The sequence below is a fragment of the Homo sapiens genome, chromosome 21 (assembly GCF_000001405.40).
Source record: "Homo sapiens chromosome 21, GRCh38.p14 Primary Assembly".
In the NCBI taxonomy this organism is placed as follows: Eukaryota; Metazoa; Chordata; class Mammalia; order Primates; family Hominidae; genus Homo; species Homo sapiens.
The window spans coordinates 25,446,453-25,462,170 of NC_000021.9; the positions used below are offsets into that span (position 1 = coordinate 25,446,453).

Consider the following 15,718-nt stretch of genomic DNA (forward strand, 5'->3'; position numbering starts at 1 on the left):
TATGAGCACAAAGTGTAAGATAATCACCAAACATGGACTAAGCCTTTGAACTTTGGATAAATATTTTTTAATCTTTGATAGACTTCCATCTACAGGCAGAAATAAAAACAAAAGTCAATTTGGTATTGATCAATTGCTAAGTTTTCACTGGAAATTTCAACTAAAGGTAACTCACTTTTATAAAAATATGAACAAATTAAAACCAAAATTAGTAGAAAGAGTGAAGTAATAAAGCTCAGAACAGAAATAAATGAAATAAAGATTTTTAAATAATTTATAAGATCAACAAAATAGTTATTTTTTGAAAAGATGAACAAAATTGACTAACATTTATATAGAATAACTAAGATAAAATTGAAAAGACTCAAATAAATAAAATCAGAGGTGAAAAAGAAGACATTTTGACCAACACTAAAGAAATACAAACGATCATAAGAAGGTATCATGAGTGGCTATATGTAAACAAAACTGAAAACATAGAAGAAATGAATAAATTTTGTTACACATACAACCTACTAAGGTTAAATTATCCTTTCTGATCCAAAAAAATAGAATATTAAGAGCAAAAATTATGTAGAATGTCTGGGACATTTTTCATTTGGATTAATTCACTTTGAATTAAAATAACAGCAACTAAAAGTCATCTGAGGATTCAGTGATAATTCAAATTGCATTTTAGTTCTAAAGCAATTAACTTTCAAAACTCTCAGTTTTAGAAGGAAACACTATCAAATGGACATGCTGCCTAGGATGGTGCCTTTAGACGAAGGGGCTGAGTAAACATTCGATGAATTAATACATGCATTTTGAAATTGATAGTTGCACAGACTATGTTTTGTAAACTGGAGTGTTATAATATGGGAGCTCAATGTATTCAGTTGAAATTCCTGACTTAGCTACGTACTGTTTGTATAAACTTGAACATTTACTTAATTTTGTTAAGCTGCAGGTCCTACTGTAAAAATATGGGTAAACATTTAAGTACCTCTCAGGATTTTTTGAGAAGTAAGTAGGTGGCCCACAATAAATAATTTGCATTGTTTTTGGTCAGCAGTAGGCTTTAAAAATCAAATACTATTATTAAATAGTAAAATTATGTAAATCTGTATGCTAAATATTAATTTCATGCTTCAGTTCATTTTATTTTGTAATATTTGGATTTTAATGTCTCAACTAGTCCCCAAAGGAGTGGAATGCAAAATTTGAAGTCTTCTTTGAGTAAATGAACTGTATAAATCTCAATGTCAAGTTTGTTTAAAAAATTGAATTGCTGTGTGACCGACAAATGTCTTGCAAATATCTTTTAGTCTTTCATTTTCCCATTTTCAGTGTTTTCACTCCTTCCTCTCTCCTCTCTGGCTCCATTTACACACATTTTAAGAAATAAAAGCAATATATTAAAAAATGAGGCTGTGTCCTGCAGGGATGGGTGCTGCTGAGATCAGGTAAAATGAGTAAAAGGGATGCCAAGCACTTTGCCAGACACATGTTGGTCATTCACCAACTGACGCAAAACTCAATGCCAAGTGGTTGAACGCTTAGCCACAGAACATACTGAGACTCTACTGCTGATCTTCCTGTGGTAAGACAGAAAGGGAAGCCCAAAGAAGAGAGTTACATGTTCCCTCCCTGTGAAATTCATCCCTTTTCAATAATCCCTCGGGGAACTGCCCAGCCCCTCATCTGTCCAGTTTTTGGTCAGGCATGACCTTCTTTAACATTTATAGAGATTTACTGTCTCAGATACTATTCTAAATGCTTAAGTGTATGAAATCATTTAACCTTTACCACAATCCCATGCAGAAGATCTAATTACTACCCCATTTTACAGATGAAGAAAATGAGGCACAGAGAGGTTAAGTTTCTTGCCCTGCATCACAGTGAAGTGGCAGAGCAGAGATTCAAACCTAGGCATTCTGATGCAAGGATTTGTGCTTTCATCATCTTACCATCTCTGCAAAGCCTTCACCAATTGCCTCAAGCATATTTTACTGTAATTCCTCCATACTCACTTGGAATACATTTGTTTTCATAAATGTCTAGAGCATCACTGTCCAATAGAAATAAAATGTGAGTGATGTGAGCCACATACATAATTTTGAATGTTCTAGTAGCCACATTTTAAAAAATTAAATGGAACAGGTGAAAATAATTTTAAAGCTATACTTTATTGAACCCAATTGTGATGTTTAGTTTTATGTACCAACCTGGCTACCCTATTGTGTCCAGTTGCTTGGTTGAACAAAAGCCTAGATGGCACAATAAAATATTTTTCAGATGTGATTAACAATTAAATCTGTATAGTAGATTACACTCCATATTGTGCATGGGCCACATCCAATCAGTTGAAGGCCTTAAGAGCTAAGACTGTAACATAGAGGCTGGTGTGGTGGCTCATGCCTGTAATCCCAACACTTTGAGAGGATGAGGCAGGAGGATCACTTATGCCCAGAAGTTCAAGACCAGTCTGGGCAACACAGTGAGACCCTCCCATCTCTAAAAAAAAATGTTTTAAATTAGCCAGGCATGGTGTCATGTGCCAGTTGTCCCAGCTATTCAGGAGGCTGAGGTGGCAGGATCACTTGAGCCTGGTAGGTTGAGGCTGTAGTGAGACATGATTGTGCCACTGCACTCAGCCTGGGCAAAAGAGTGAGATCCTATTTCAAAAAAAAAAAAAAAAAAGACTGTAACATAAAAAATTTACCTGTATTATCTTTGCTAGGACTTTGTATTAGTCCATTTTCACACTGCTATAAACAACTGCCTAAGACTGGGTTATTTATAAAGGAAAGAAGTTTAATTGACTCACAGTTCCACCTGGCTGGGGAGGCCTCAGGAAACTTACAATCATAGCAGAAGGTGAAGGGGAAGCAAGCACCTTCTTCACAAGGTAGCAGGGAACAGGTGTAGGGGACTGCCAAACACTTTTAAACCATCAGATCTAGTGAGAATTCATTCACTATCATGAAAATAGCATGGGGAAACTGCTCTTTGATTCAATCACCTCCCTCAACACAGAGGAATTACAATTTAAGATGAGATTTGGGTGGGGACACAGAGGAAATCCATATTATTCCACCACTGGCCCCTCCAAAATCTCATGTCCTTTTCAATTTCAAAACCAATCATGCCTTCCCAACAGTTTCCCAAAGTCTTAACTCATTCCAGCATTAACCCAAAAGTCCAAGTCCAAAGTCTCATCTGAGACAAGGCAAGTCTCTTCCACACAGGAGCCTGTAAAATCAAAAGCAAGTTAGTTACTTCCAAGATGCAATGGGGGTACAGTCATTCCTGTTCCAAATGCCAAAACAAAGGAGCCATAGGCCCCATGCATGTCCAAAACTCAGCAGGGCATTCATTCAATCTTGAAGCTTCAAAATAATTTCCTTTGACTCCACGTCTCACATCCAGGGCATGCTGATACAAGAAGTGGGCTCCCAGAACCTTGGGTAGCTCCACCCCTGTGGCTCTGCAGGATACAACCCCCACAGCTGCTTTCACGGGCTGGTGTTGAGTGCCTGTGGCTTTTCCAGGAGCACGGAGCAAGCTGTCAGTGGATCTACCTTTCTGGGGTCTGGAGGATGGTGGCCCTCTTGTTATAGCTCCACTAGGCAGTGCCCCAGTGAGAACTCTGTATGGGGGCTCCAACCCCACATTTCCCCTCTACATTGCCCTAGTATAAGTTCTCCATGAGGGCTCTGCCTCTGCAGCAAACTTCTATCTGGACATCCAGGTGTTTCCACACATCCTCTGAAATCTAGGCAGAGGTTCCCAAAGCTCAACCCTTGTCTTCTGTGCACCTGCAGGCCCAACACCACACGGAAGCTGCCAAGGCTTGGGGCTTGCACTCTGAAGCCACAGCCTGAGCTGTACCTTGGCCCCTTTTAGGCATGGCTGGAGCTGGAGAAGCTGGAATGCCGGTCACCATGTCCCAAGACTACACAGAGCAGCAGGGCCCTGGGCCTGGCCCATGCAATCATTTTTCCCTCCTCTCCTCTGGGCCTGTAATGGGAGAAGCTGCTGTGAAGATCTCTGACTTGCCCTGGAGACATTTTCCCCATTGTCCTGGCTCTTAACACTCAGCCTCTTGCTACTTATGGAAAATCCTGCAGCTGGATTGAATTTCTCCCCAGAAAGTGGGTTTTTCTTTTCTACCACATGGATAGGCTGCAAATTTGCCAAGCTTTTATGATCTGCTTCCCTTTTAAGCATAAATTCTGATTTCAGATCATCTCTACATGAACACATATGACTGTACGCATTCAGAAAAAGCCAGAATAAGCATCTTCAATGCTTTGCTGCTTAGAAATTTCTTCTGCCAGACACCCTAAATTACCTCTCTCAAGTTCAAAGTCCTACAGAACTCTAGGGCAGGGATAAAATGCTGCCAGTCTCTTTGCTAAAGCATAGCAAGAGTGACCTTTATTCCAGCTTCTAACAACTTCCTCATCTCCATCTGAGACCTCCTCAGCCTGAATTTTATTGTCCATATCACTATAATTTTGGTTAAAATCATTCAACAAGTATCTAGGAAGTTTCAACCTTTCCCACATCTTCCTGTCTTCTTCTGAGCCTTCCAAACTCTTCCAACCTCTGCCCGTTACCCAATTCCAAAGTCTCTTCTACATTTTCAAGTATCTTTATAGCAGTGCCTCAACTCCCAGCACCAATTTCCTATATTAGTCCATTTTCACACTGCTATAAAGAACTACCTGAAACTGGGAAATTTATGAAGGAAAGAGGCTTAACTGACTCACAGTTCTGCATGGTTAGGGAGGTCTCAGGAAACTTACAATCATGGTGGAAGGCAAAAGGGAAGCAAGCACCTTCTTCACAAGGCAACTGGAGAGAGTGGTGGGGGGAGCTGCCAAACACTTTTAAACCATCAGATCTAGTGAGGACTCACTCACTAACATGAGAATCGCATGGGGAAAACTGCCACCATGATCCAATCACCTCCCACCGGGTCCCTCCCTCAACATGTGGGGATTACAATTCAAGATGAGATTTGAATGAAGATACAGAGCCAAACCATGTCAGGCTCCCATAACAAAACAGCACAGACTGAGTGGTTTAAACAAGAGAAATGTATTTTCTCACAGTTTTGGAAACTGGAAGTTCAAGATCAAGGTATTGGCAGGTTTGGTTTCTCCTGTGGCTTTTTTTTTTTTTTTTTTTTTTGGCTTGCGGACAAGGCCTTTTCTCTGTTCAAGAACATCCCTGGTGTCCTATCATATTAGCCCCCCACCCTTACAGTCCCATTTAATCTTAATTGCCTCTTTAAAGGCTCTGTCTCCAAATACAATTCCACTGGGGGTTAGAACTTCAACATATGAATGTGGGGAAGAGACACAATTCAGTTCATAACATTGCCTGAGTTACCAGCCTGACTCATCTGCCCTGTGGATTTCTGACTCAAAACTGCAACATCAACTCTTACCTTAATCTCCAGGCTGCTGACACAGTCTACAAATATCAGAGTTGGCAGCCTCCATAATTACATGAGCCAATTCCTTAAAATAAATTCCTTTCTCCTCTCTCTCTCTGTCTCTCATTCTTTGTGTGTGTGTGTGTGTGTGTGTGTGTGTGTGTGTGTGTGTAGTATATATGTAACAGGATATTATGTATATACAGATGTATATACACCTACATATATACACACATATATTATGTGTATATACACATATGTATGTCTATGTATACATATGTATATATACATATACATGTGTTTACATATACATAAGTATATGGCACATACATGTGTGTTTACATATACAGAACATGTGTGCATTTACATATATGTATAATACACATGTTTTTGTATATACATAAATGTATATACATGTTTGTATGTGTATATATCCTATTACATATATAAATTAAATCATTTAATTATAATCTATTAGCTCCACTTCTCTGGAGAGCCCTGATACACCAGTATATCTTAAGTGTTATTATTCCTACATGTAATCAATATAAAAATTATTAATGAGATATTTTATGTTTTATGCATGCTATGTTTCTGAAATCTTGTTAGTATTTTGTGCTTATAGCACTTATCAGCTTGGACTGGCCACATCTCAAGTGCTGGATAATCACATGTGGCTAGTGGCCATCATATTGGGCAGTGAAGGTCTAGAGCAGACAGGCAAGGTGAAGCGGAAAGAAGAACAAAAATGAAGACAGACCAGGGTTTAAACTCCACCCTGTGACTGAAGCTCAGTGAATGCTAGCTATAATTTCTATGCTCCTAACTGGAGAACCTTCCTGAGCCTTGGTTTTCTCATACATAAATGAGGGATAATAGTACCTCCCTTAAAGAGCTGTTATAAAGATTCATTGGAAAGCCCCTCACAGAGTGCTTGGTAAAGTGTAGATGCTCTATTCTCACTCATAGGTGGGAATTGAACAATGAGATCACATGGACACAGGAAGGGGAATATCACACTCTGGGGACTGTGGTGGGGTCGGGGGAGGGGGGAGGGATAGCATTGGGAGATATACCTAATGCTAGATGACACATTAGTGGGTGCAGCGCACCAGCATGGCACATGTATACATATGTAACTAACCTGCACAATGTGCACATGTACCCTAAAACTTAGAGTATAATAAAAAAAAAAAAAAAAAAAAAAAAGTGTAGATGCTCAATAAATATCAGGCACTTTTCTTTTCCTCTTAGTCTTCATATCTGTTTTCCTACCTTCCCTCTTCAAGGAAAAAGTCTGCTTATTTTACCTTTGTTTCCCCAGCCTGGCCCACTGGTAGGTGCTCAGAAAGTCGTTGTAGAATTAATGAGTGGTCTTAAGTTCCTATAGTGGAATATATCCAATTGCTAATTTAGATTTTCCTTTAATAAATCATCCTTTAAAACACTTTGGCAAGACTTGCAAGTTGTGGAGCTGTTGACATTGTAGCTGGTGGTCCAGTGGAGAGATGGTCCAAGGTCTAGTTTGGGGATTGGAGGGAAGAGCCTGTTAAGGGAAAGGAAATGTGGCAGCATCACAAACAAAACAAACCAGATGAGATGAACCACAGGCATCTGTGTCATAAGATTACAACAAAATTTTTTAATTCAGTTACTGAAGATAAATTTGAAAACTGTTAATGAGATGTATCCTTATGAAAGGAAAAAAATAGGAAACACATTCACCCTGGGTCACAAAAATCTAGTTTAGATGAAAAGAATTTGCCCTGCCAGTGAGTACATTAAAGATGTGATTCATTTGCAAAAGTAAAAATTCCTGGTAATATGACATATTAAGAAGGCATCTGATGTATTAGTCTGGGTTGTCTAGAGAAATAGAACCAATAGGAGATATGGAAATATGATATATTATATGGAAATGGCTCACAAGAGTATAAAGCTGACAAATCCCAAGATCTGAAGTCAGCAAGTTGGAAACCTAGGAGAGCTAATGGTTCCAGTGCTCAGGCTGGCAGGCTTGAGACTCAGGGCAAACCAATGTTTCAGTTAGGGTCCAAAAGCAGGAAAAAAAAAATGTCCCCTCTCAAAGGCACTCAGGCAGAAAGAGCTTCCTTTAACTCATGGGAAGATGAGCCTTTGTCCGCTTCAGGTCTTCAACGAACCAAACCATGTGGGCCCACCCACATCATGGAGGGCAATCTGCTTTATTCAGTCTATCAGTTTAAATATTAATCTCATGCATCCAAAAACACCCTCACTGATATACCCAGAATAATGTTTGATCAAATGCCTGGGCACCCCATGGCCCAGTTAAGTTGACGTCTAAAATTAACCATTACACCTGATATATACTCATGACAGATTTCTTTCAGAGCTTCCCATGTCAGTAAAATGTGCTTGCAACAAATAGGTCTCCTTTTTCTCCCTACTTTGCTTCTTCTCAAGTGCATTATTTTCTTTCCCTCATCCTCATACAAGCTATTGGAGAAACACTTTGGAATGGGAACTAACATCTACAGCACACCACCACCCCATGCCATGCTTATTACCAGGTACTCATCACACTGTGTCCCCGCCAGAAGCTAGAGAACAGGAGAAGTCATCCAAGTGGCAACAACCTTGGGAAGCCATTGCAGCCCTAACTCTCTTGCTCAGCCTTGTCATTTCAAAAACTCAATCTCGTCAGGGTGTCAAATTCGGTCAAACTTGGGCATTATAATTCACAGAAACTCGATTCAAGATACTTCTGTACAAACAAACAAAAAGCCATCTAATTAATTACAACAAGAAATACAACTGCCAAGGGGGATCTCTAGCTAAAGCATCCCTTCCTTGTAAAATTATATCAGAAGTCAAATTAGAATTGAAATATTAGGTTAGGGCAAAAGTAATTGCAAGTAATTGCATTTTTTGCCTTTCAAAGTAATGGCAAAAACTGCCATTACTTTTGTACCAACCTAATGTTGATTACTTGAATTGAATCTAGAGTAAGTGGAAGGTTGATTTAAACAAGATGCTCAATTACACCAAGCGAAGAATGGCTGATGCTACAATTTCAACAATCATCAGACAGGAAAAAACTTGGAACCCAATTTTGCTAGATTTTTCTGCCATAATGTACCTCATAGATTCTTTGTTTTATTTTTTCATATGCCAGGTGAACCAACTCCCTATCTGTGTAACACATTATTTGTTTCAAAAATATTTAACAAGTTACAAGTCAAGTCTTACTGGCCCATAAACTATTTTATCTCATTAAGATGACCCATCTTGCTGCACTCAATTTCCATAAGCTTTCAAAGAAAATCTCACTGTTTGACTTTCTTTTCATTCATATCCATTTAATTCTTATAACAATTCTGTTCTGGTAATCAATTGCTGATTAATAAGTGATCGCAAAATGTCATTACTCAAAATAATAAGCATTTTTATTAATATCATTATTATTCTCAGCATATTCTCAACATCATTTTCAGATCAGGTTACTGATATAACTGACATTGGAATATTATAACATTTTTAAGTGATGTTTTGAAGTCCTCTTGACCATTCTTGGAAGAAATAACTTTTCTATTCTCTACTAAACATTCTTCACATTTCATATTGGCTACTGCAGATATGCAGACATTCTTTTTATTCCTCATACACCTCTTCTGTTCTTAGAAATGCAGGGAGTAACTGCTTCATTGGTCTGTTGGACTATTCCATCTTAAAATGTTAATGAATGTTAAAACAGGTGATATCCTCTCTTAGACAAACCATTCTTCAATGCCTTAACCTAAAGGAGTTGGTATATTTGAAATATAATCATCAAAGCAAGGTTGGTAGAGAAAAAAGTTGGTCTGGGAAGAGGAGATTTGAAGGTGAAGAGTTAATTTATTCATTTAAAAAACACATATTGCCAGGCATGGTGGCTCACCCCTGTAATCTCTGCACTTTGGAGGATGAGGCAGGGTGGAATGCTTGAGCTCAGGAGTTCGAGACCAAGTTTGAGCAACATAGCCAGACTCTGTCTCTACAAAAAAAAAAAAAAAGAAAAAGAAAGAAGGAAAGAAAGAAAGAAAGAAAGAAAGAAAGAAAGAAAGAAAGAAAGAAAGAAAGAAAGAAAGAAAGAAAGAAAGAAAGAGAAAGAAAGAAAGAAAAGAAAAGAAAAATCAGCCCGGCATGGTGGCACATGCCTATACAACTCAGAAGGCTGAGTGGGGAGGATCATCTGAACCCAGGGAGGTTGAGGCAGCAGTGAGCTATGATTGTGTCACTGCACTCCAACCTGAGTAACAGTAGTGACACCCTCAAAACATAAATACATAAAATAAAATTTAAAAACACATATTGACCCACAAAACGTAATTATTTGTTAAGAATGGCCATTTGGTGACAAGCAGCCCAAGGAGGCAAATTTACTCTTAATAAGTTTTTTTTAACTTGTTTTTGAGACAAGGCCTTGCTATATGCCACCCAGACCATAGTGCAGTGGTGCAATCACAGCTCACTGCAGCCTCCACCTCCTGGGCCCAAGCAATCCTCTCACCTCTCAGCCTCCCAAGTACCTGAGACTACAGGCGTGCACCATCACACCCAGCTAATTTTTGTATTTTTTGCAGGGATGGGGTTTCGCCATGTTACCCAAGCTTGTCTCGAACTCCTGGGCTCAAGGGATCTGCCCACCTCAGCCTCCCAAAGTGCTGGGATTACAGTGTGAACCACCTTACCTGGCCTAAGCTAACAATTTTTAAAATCACATTAATGTTTATAAAGGTGTTATAATCCCTGGCAAAGTTCCCATGCTACAAGTCCAGCTTAATAAAAAATGAGACGCCATTTAGGCATCTAGCCTTAAACCTCATACCTCATGATACTAATACTTTAAGCCTCTCATAAGGGGAACTCATACAAGTCTTAATACTTCACAGTTACTAGAATGCTGAGACCTCAGATGAAATTTTTTTCTTGTGGCTTTCTACAGAAAACCATGAAGTACAAAAATTTGCTTTTAAGCTACTGTACTCATTTATTCAACAAATATTTGTCAGGCGTTGCTATGTGCCAGGAACTGAGGTGCAGGGAACACAGCCAGAGCAAGCGTGACCCCTGCCCTAAGAAAATTTGCAGTTTGAATAAATGTTCTCAGACCTGCAGTCATTCTGGGACTTTCCACACCTTCCTTCCTTTCTTTTCTTCTTTCTTTCTTTCTTTAGTGTTACCATCAAATTGCTACTACAGTGTGATACTTAAGAGAACAAATTCTAGAATTAAAATGCTAGGGTTCATAACCTAGTTCCACCAAGAAAAACAATTTTTTAAAGAGTCATAAATAATAAATAAATAAATAAATAAATGCCAGAAGAAATCAATACTTGATAATTGAATAATTATAAGTATAATAATTATTACTTCATCAATGCTCTTATGTGAAGCAAAACTCTGACAGTAGACACTCTAAAGTTCCAGAGAAACTCTCAAAGAGCATTTTTTTTGTTTTGATCCCAACTACATTGCTTTTCCTTAAGAAATGGTTTTTACAGTATTCTCAGACCACAATCCTTCAATATTTTAAAAATCATTCCATTAAACTCTGCTTTTCCATCTCCCTTGTGAACTCTTGGCCAGTGAGACACAGTTTCATTTTCACTTTTTCAAAATGATAGTATGAAAAAACAGAAGTGAAAGTATGAATCATAATATAATCAGGAGTTCATACTGAGATACCCATTTATAACTCAGAAAACCACGGGGTATTTCCAAACTGATGTCATTCATAGAAAGAATACCATGTGTTGTGGAAGAATAAGAAAAATTACCTAAACCAACTGGGGGATTTAGAATACATGTGGGATATTCCCAGCTAATTATTTTCATTAAAAAATTTTTTTACAAAGATCAACTGTGTTTCAAATACTTACAGTGATAGTCATCTTGGAAATTACAAACTGGATTCTGGGTTATACTTTTTAATTATGATCAGTGAGACAATGGACATTGAGATTTTGCTTTAGAGCACATAATGCCATTATAACTGTATATAACTCAAAGTTATTTATATAACTCAAGGTTTTATATATATAACTAAAGTTTTATTTTCCTTAAAGAGTTATATAAATACCAAAATAGCCATGAAATCCCATGTAGTTGTTTTACTTATAAGGAAGAATTTTTATAGGAAAAACTGTGAGCCCTGCTCAAATTATTAAAATTGGGCCGGACACAGTGGCTCATGCTATAATCCCAACACTTTGGGTGGTCGAGGCAGGCAAATCACTTCAGGCCAGGAATTCGAGACCAGCCTGGCCAGCATGGTGAAACCCCATCTCTACTAAAAACACAAAAATTACCCAGACTTGTTGGCTTGCGCCTGTAATCCCAGCTCTGAGATCACGCCACTGCACTTTAGCCTGGGTGACAGGGTGAGACTATGTCTCAAAAAAAAATTATTAAAATTTATTACTTTTATTGTATTATGTTTTGGGGGGGAAATACATATGAATCTCATTTTTCCAACCAAACAATTAAAAATGATTTTTCCCTCTCTCTACTACATCCCACTACATTAAAATTTTTTAAGAACTTAAAAATGTTACGGTGTACATGGCATAAATTAATGATCTTACAGGGATGAAACCTTTCCCAGGAAATATTCTCCTTTAGGTTGTGTACACTGGCTTGGAAAACACTTTGGCTGTGTTAGTTCTGCCATAGTTGCTCCTATGGTGGCAGCTTTGTCAGTTGTTTTGACAGATCCTAATATCCAGTTGTAAGGACAGGCCAGCTATATCTCTTTTCAATCTGAATGCCCCTGTTGCCTAATCAGCCAACATCCCTGACATGGAAAAGTCATGCCACTCACTAATCTTGGTAATACCCTGGCCTGTTCTTTGGTTTCTGAGACCTATCCAAGAGTCCAGTGATAGACCCACAATCTCCTGTCCTAACACCTGTTATGAACTGCTTTGTTATCCTGAATCTTTCAGCGAGGACACAGGTGAATCTGCTAGTAGGATGGTCTGGCCCCATGTAATTTAGAAGTAGATTTTAAAATGTATCAGAAAATCAAGTTTCTCTTCATTCTATATACCAACAGGAAGTCCACATGGATTAAAGACTAAAAGCAAACCTTAAAAATTTTAGGAGAAAATGTAGGAGGCTCTCTCATAATACTAAAGTTAAAAAAGATTTATCAAAATATAAAAAGGTTTATCAGTTGTAACAAATGTACCATTCTGGTGCAGGATATTGAAAATGAAGGAAATTATGCCTATGCAGGGGTGGAGGTAGGTATAAGGGAAATCTATGTATCGTCTGCTCTATTTTACTATGAGCCTAAAACTGCTCTTAAAAAATTGAGTCTATTGAAATAAAGAAATAACAGAGCAAACCATTAAGTACAAAATAAAAAAGAATAAATTTAATGACATTACCATTTTAAATTTCTATATATTCAACACTATAAACCAAGTTAAAAGGCAAGCAAGTGACAGAAGATATTTACAAGACATTTGAAAAATATTTGCAATCTAGAATATTTTAAAAATCCTATAAATGAGGAAACTGCAAAAAGTGCAGTAGATAGAGAAATATAAACCTTCAGTTCACAGAAGAGAAGCTCTATATGGCCAACAAAGATATGTGGAAAAAAGCTGTCACTTGCTGGTAATAGAAACATGCAAATTAAGACAAGATACTCTTTCATGTCCATCAGACTGGAAAATTTTCAAAAGGCTGACAATGACAAGTAATGGTAAGGAAGTAGGGGAGAGGGATAGGAAACTTACAAATTCTTAATGACTGGTAATTAATGAACATTGACATTTCACTAAGGCAGTGTAGCATACATTTGAGAAGAAAAATATAAGAGGTTGAAAGAGTACACTGGTATGATTTAGAAAACATTTTTGCACTATCTAGTAAACTTGGAAATTCAGGACTCAGCAAGTCAACTTCTAAAGCATAAAATCCAGAAACACTTTTGCACAGGGACACAAGAATGCTCCCTGCAGCACCCTTTTTTTTTTATTTTAAATTCCAAAATGTCTGCCATTGGGAGAATGGCTCCTCTTAGTTTCATCTGCCTCAACACTAAGCATCCACTTTCTCTTTAGGCTCTTTCCATCCCTTTCTTCATGTAGTTGGAAGCAGGGCACTGACCCTATCCACTCACTCCCACTGACATTCCTCTCTCCTCCTCCCTACGCTCCCCTATTCCCACAGGGATCTCTTTCTACCTTGGAAAATTCACCTTCCATCCTGCCTCTAGCCAAGACATGTCATCTAGGCCCACAAATCCTCCTTAATGTTTCCTGCTCTGGAAATGTTGCCTGACTTCTTCAGATTTAAGGAACTGAAAATTAACAGCCAGAACATTACCTGTCTTACAATTCCCAGGGCCAGTTACCTTCCTGAATGAGGAGGAACAGGCAGAGAAAAATATGTATAGAGAGAATAAAAAGCATAGATTAATAACTTCAAATATTATCTTACCATATTCTTCTCCTAGCAAATCTTTGGACAGTGACACCCCCACACGCAAACTGGTGCTTGTTTCTGTGGGGAGAGGAAGAAAGGGAAGCCTGGACATCTGGTGAATTTCTTGGCTCACCTGAAAGTTTCTGCTTATACCTGGAGTATATGCACCCTCTTTCAACAATATCCCTTTACTGCTCTTATCCTCCCCACCTTGGGAACTTGGCACAAGTATGGGCAGAACTTCCCCCGAACATAATTAGGGAGAGAGGTGTCCTGCCAATATAAAAGACAACTGTACAGGGGAGGGCCCTGTCAATAACTGCAGGTGACTTGGGTTCCAGCCATGTTTTCTTCCTCCTCAGTCACCATCCTCCTCTGAATCTCTGTGCTCAAAAAGTCAGAGACAGCCACTCGTTTCCATTTAGGAGAGTGGAGTGAATATGGCTGTCATATTGGTGTCCAGCCCTTCTCTCACCCACCATCCATCAACAGGATGGTGTTCCTCTTCTTTTCTTCTCTGCCCCTTTCCACTTCTGATATAATAAGTGAATATACAAATGAAGGAAAAGTCAAAAATCCTCCCATACCTCCCTTAGTTTACATATGTGAAGAACTGGGTATGTAATTGACCCCATTTTCTCTTTGGCCAGCACATAAGCTGTTTTTAGGTGTTTTTTGTTTGTTTATTTGTTTTTTGTTTTGAGATGGAGTCTCACTCTGTCTCCCAAGCTGGAATGCAGTGGCACGATCTCTGCTCACTGCAACCTCTGCCTCCCGAGTAGCTGGGACTACAGGCATGCACCACCACACCCAGTTAATTTTCGTATTTTTAGTAGAGATGAGTTTTCACCATGTTAGCCAGGGTGTTCTCAAACTCCTGACCTCAAGTGATCCGCTTGCTTCGGCCTCCCAAAGTGCTGGGATTACAGGTGTGAGCCACCGTGCCCGGCCCCATGTTTTTAGATTTTGATTTTTTTAATTTATTGGTATTATTCGTTTCACTCTGATTTTGCTTTTCTAAATCTCACTGTGTATTGTGAACATCCCTCCCATTTGGGACATTTATATGTCCCAATACAACTAAATATGATTCTCTTTAAGAGCTGCCCCATTTTCCATTGCGTGTGTGTGTGCAAGAACATGCACAAGTGCCATGATTTAATCAGTTACCCATTGATGGACATTCAGACAGCTTATGATTTATTGTTACTACAATGATACAAATGGTATTATGTCTATACACGTTCTATATCAAGTGTGATTTTAATATGTAAGAATTCAATAATTTGAATTCCTGTGTAACATATAGATGTTTTAATTCAAATAGTTGCTGCTAGATTTATTTTCCAAAACAAATGGAGGAATTCACGTGTCTCTCATAAAAGTGAGGGAATGCTTATATCCTTGACAATTTGCCAGCATTGGTTGTTATTGCTGGTTTGAACATTTGCCAGTCAGACAAGTTAAAAAAAAATATATTGTAATTCCAATTCAGTATGAGAATAGAGTAAGGGTAATGATGTCAGTCCCAAACAAAGCAAACAGTGCCCAAGAGCCTGAAATATTTGGTTGTACACTGGTATCTCTTTCTCTGCTTGACCCTGGCTCAAAACCTACATTCCTCCATACAGAGGTCTGAGAAAGTTGGAAATATCCTGTGTTTTCCTTAGTAGTGTTTTCTTTCAGTTCAACAGGATTATGTCAACTGTTATTACAAGGAAAGGCCATCGACACACCAGTGTAAAAAGGAAAAGGTGGGTCCACTGACTAAAATTAATAAAAGGGCAAACACACACAGAAACAGCTTTAAAACCTAACAGTCACAATAAT

The 15,718-nt window shown here is 38.4% G+C and overlaps 1 long non-coding RNA gene across 3 annotated transcripts in view, besides 3 other annotated features; it reads right to left on the reverse strand.

Moving 5' to 3' along the window:
• The window catches only part of LOC105372753 (uncharacterized), a 72,352-nt gene continuing 56,678 nt past the window's right edge, over positions 45-15,718 (reverse strand). For all 3 annotated transcript variants that reach the window (NR_188560.1, NR_188566.1, NR_188564.1), the window contains 2 exons: positions 6,739-6,974; positions 45-4,002 (listed from right to left, as the gene is read on the reverse strand). This is a non-coding gene — a long non-coding RNA (uncharacterized LOC105372753). The remainder of the gene's footprint in view (positions 4,003-6,738; positions 6,975-15,718) is intronic.
• Positions 10,420-11,619: an enhancer, noted in NCBI's record as "P300/CBP strongly-dependent group 1 enhancer chr21:26829184-26830383 (GRCh37/hg19 assembly coordinates)". NCBI's record gives its function as "activates an origin of replication core promoter dependent on BRD2, BRD4, P300/CBP, MED14 and CDK7 cofactors, with strong dependence on P300/CBP, by STARR-seq in HCT116 cells {active_cell/tissue: HCT116}" and the evidence as "EXISTENCE:reporter gene assay evidence [ECO:0000049][PMID:35650434]".
• Positions 10,971-11,260: an enhancer, noted in NCBI's record as "active region_18305". NCBI's record gives its function as "activates an Ori minimal core promoter by ATAC-STARR-seq in GM12878 lymphoblastoid cells {active_cell/tissue: GM12878}" and the evidence as "EXISTENCE:reporter gene assay evidence [ECO:0000049][PMID:35858748]".
• Positions 11,740-11,869: a silencer, noted in NCBI's record as "silent region_13224". NCBI's record gives its function as "represses an Ori minimal core promoter by ATAC-STARR-seq in GM12878 lymphoblastoid cells {active_cell/tissue: GM12878}" and the evidence as "EXISTENCE:reporter gene assay evidence [ECO:0000049][PMID:35858748]".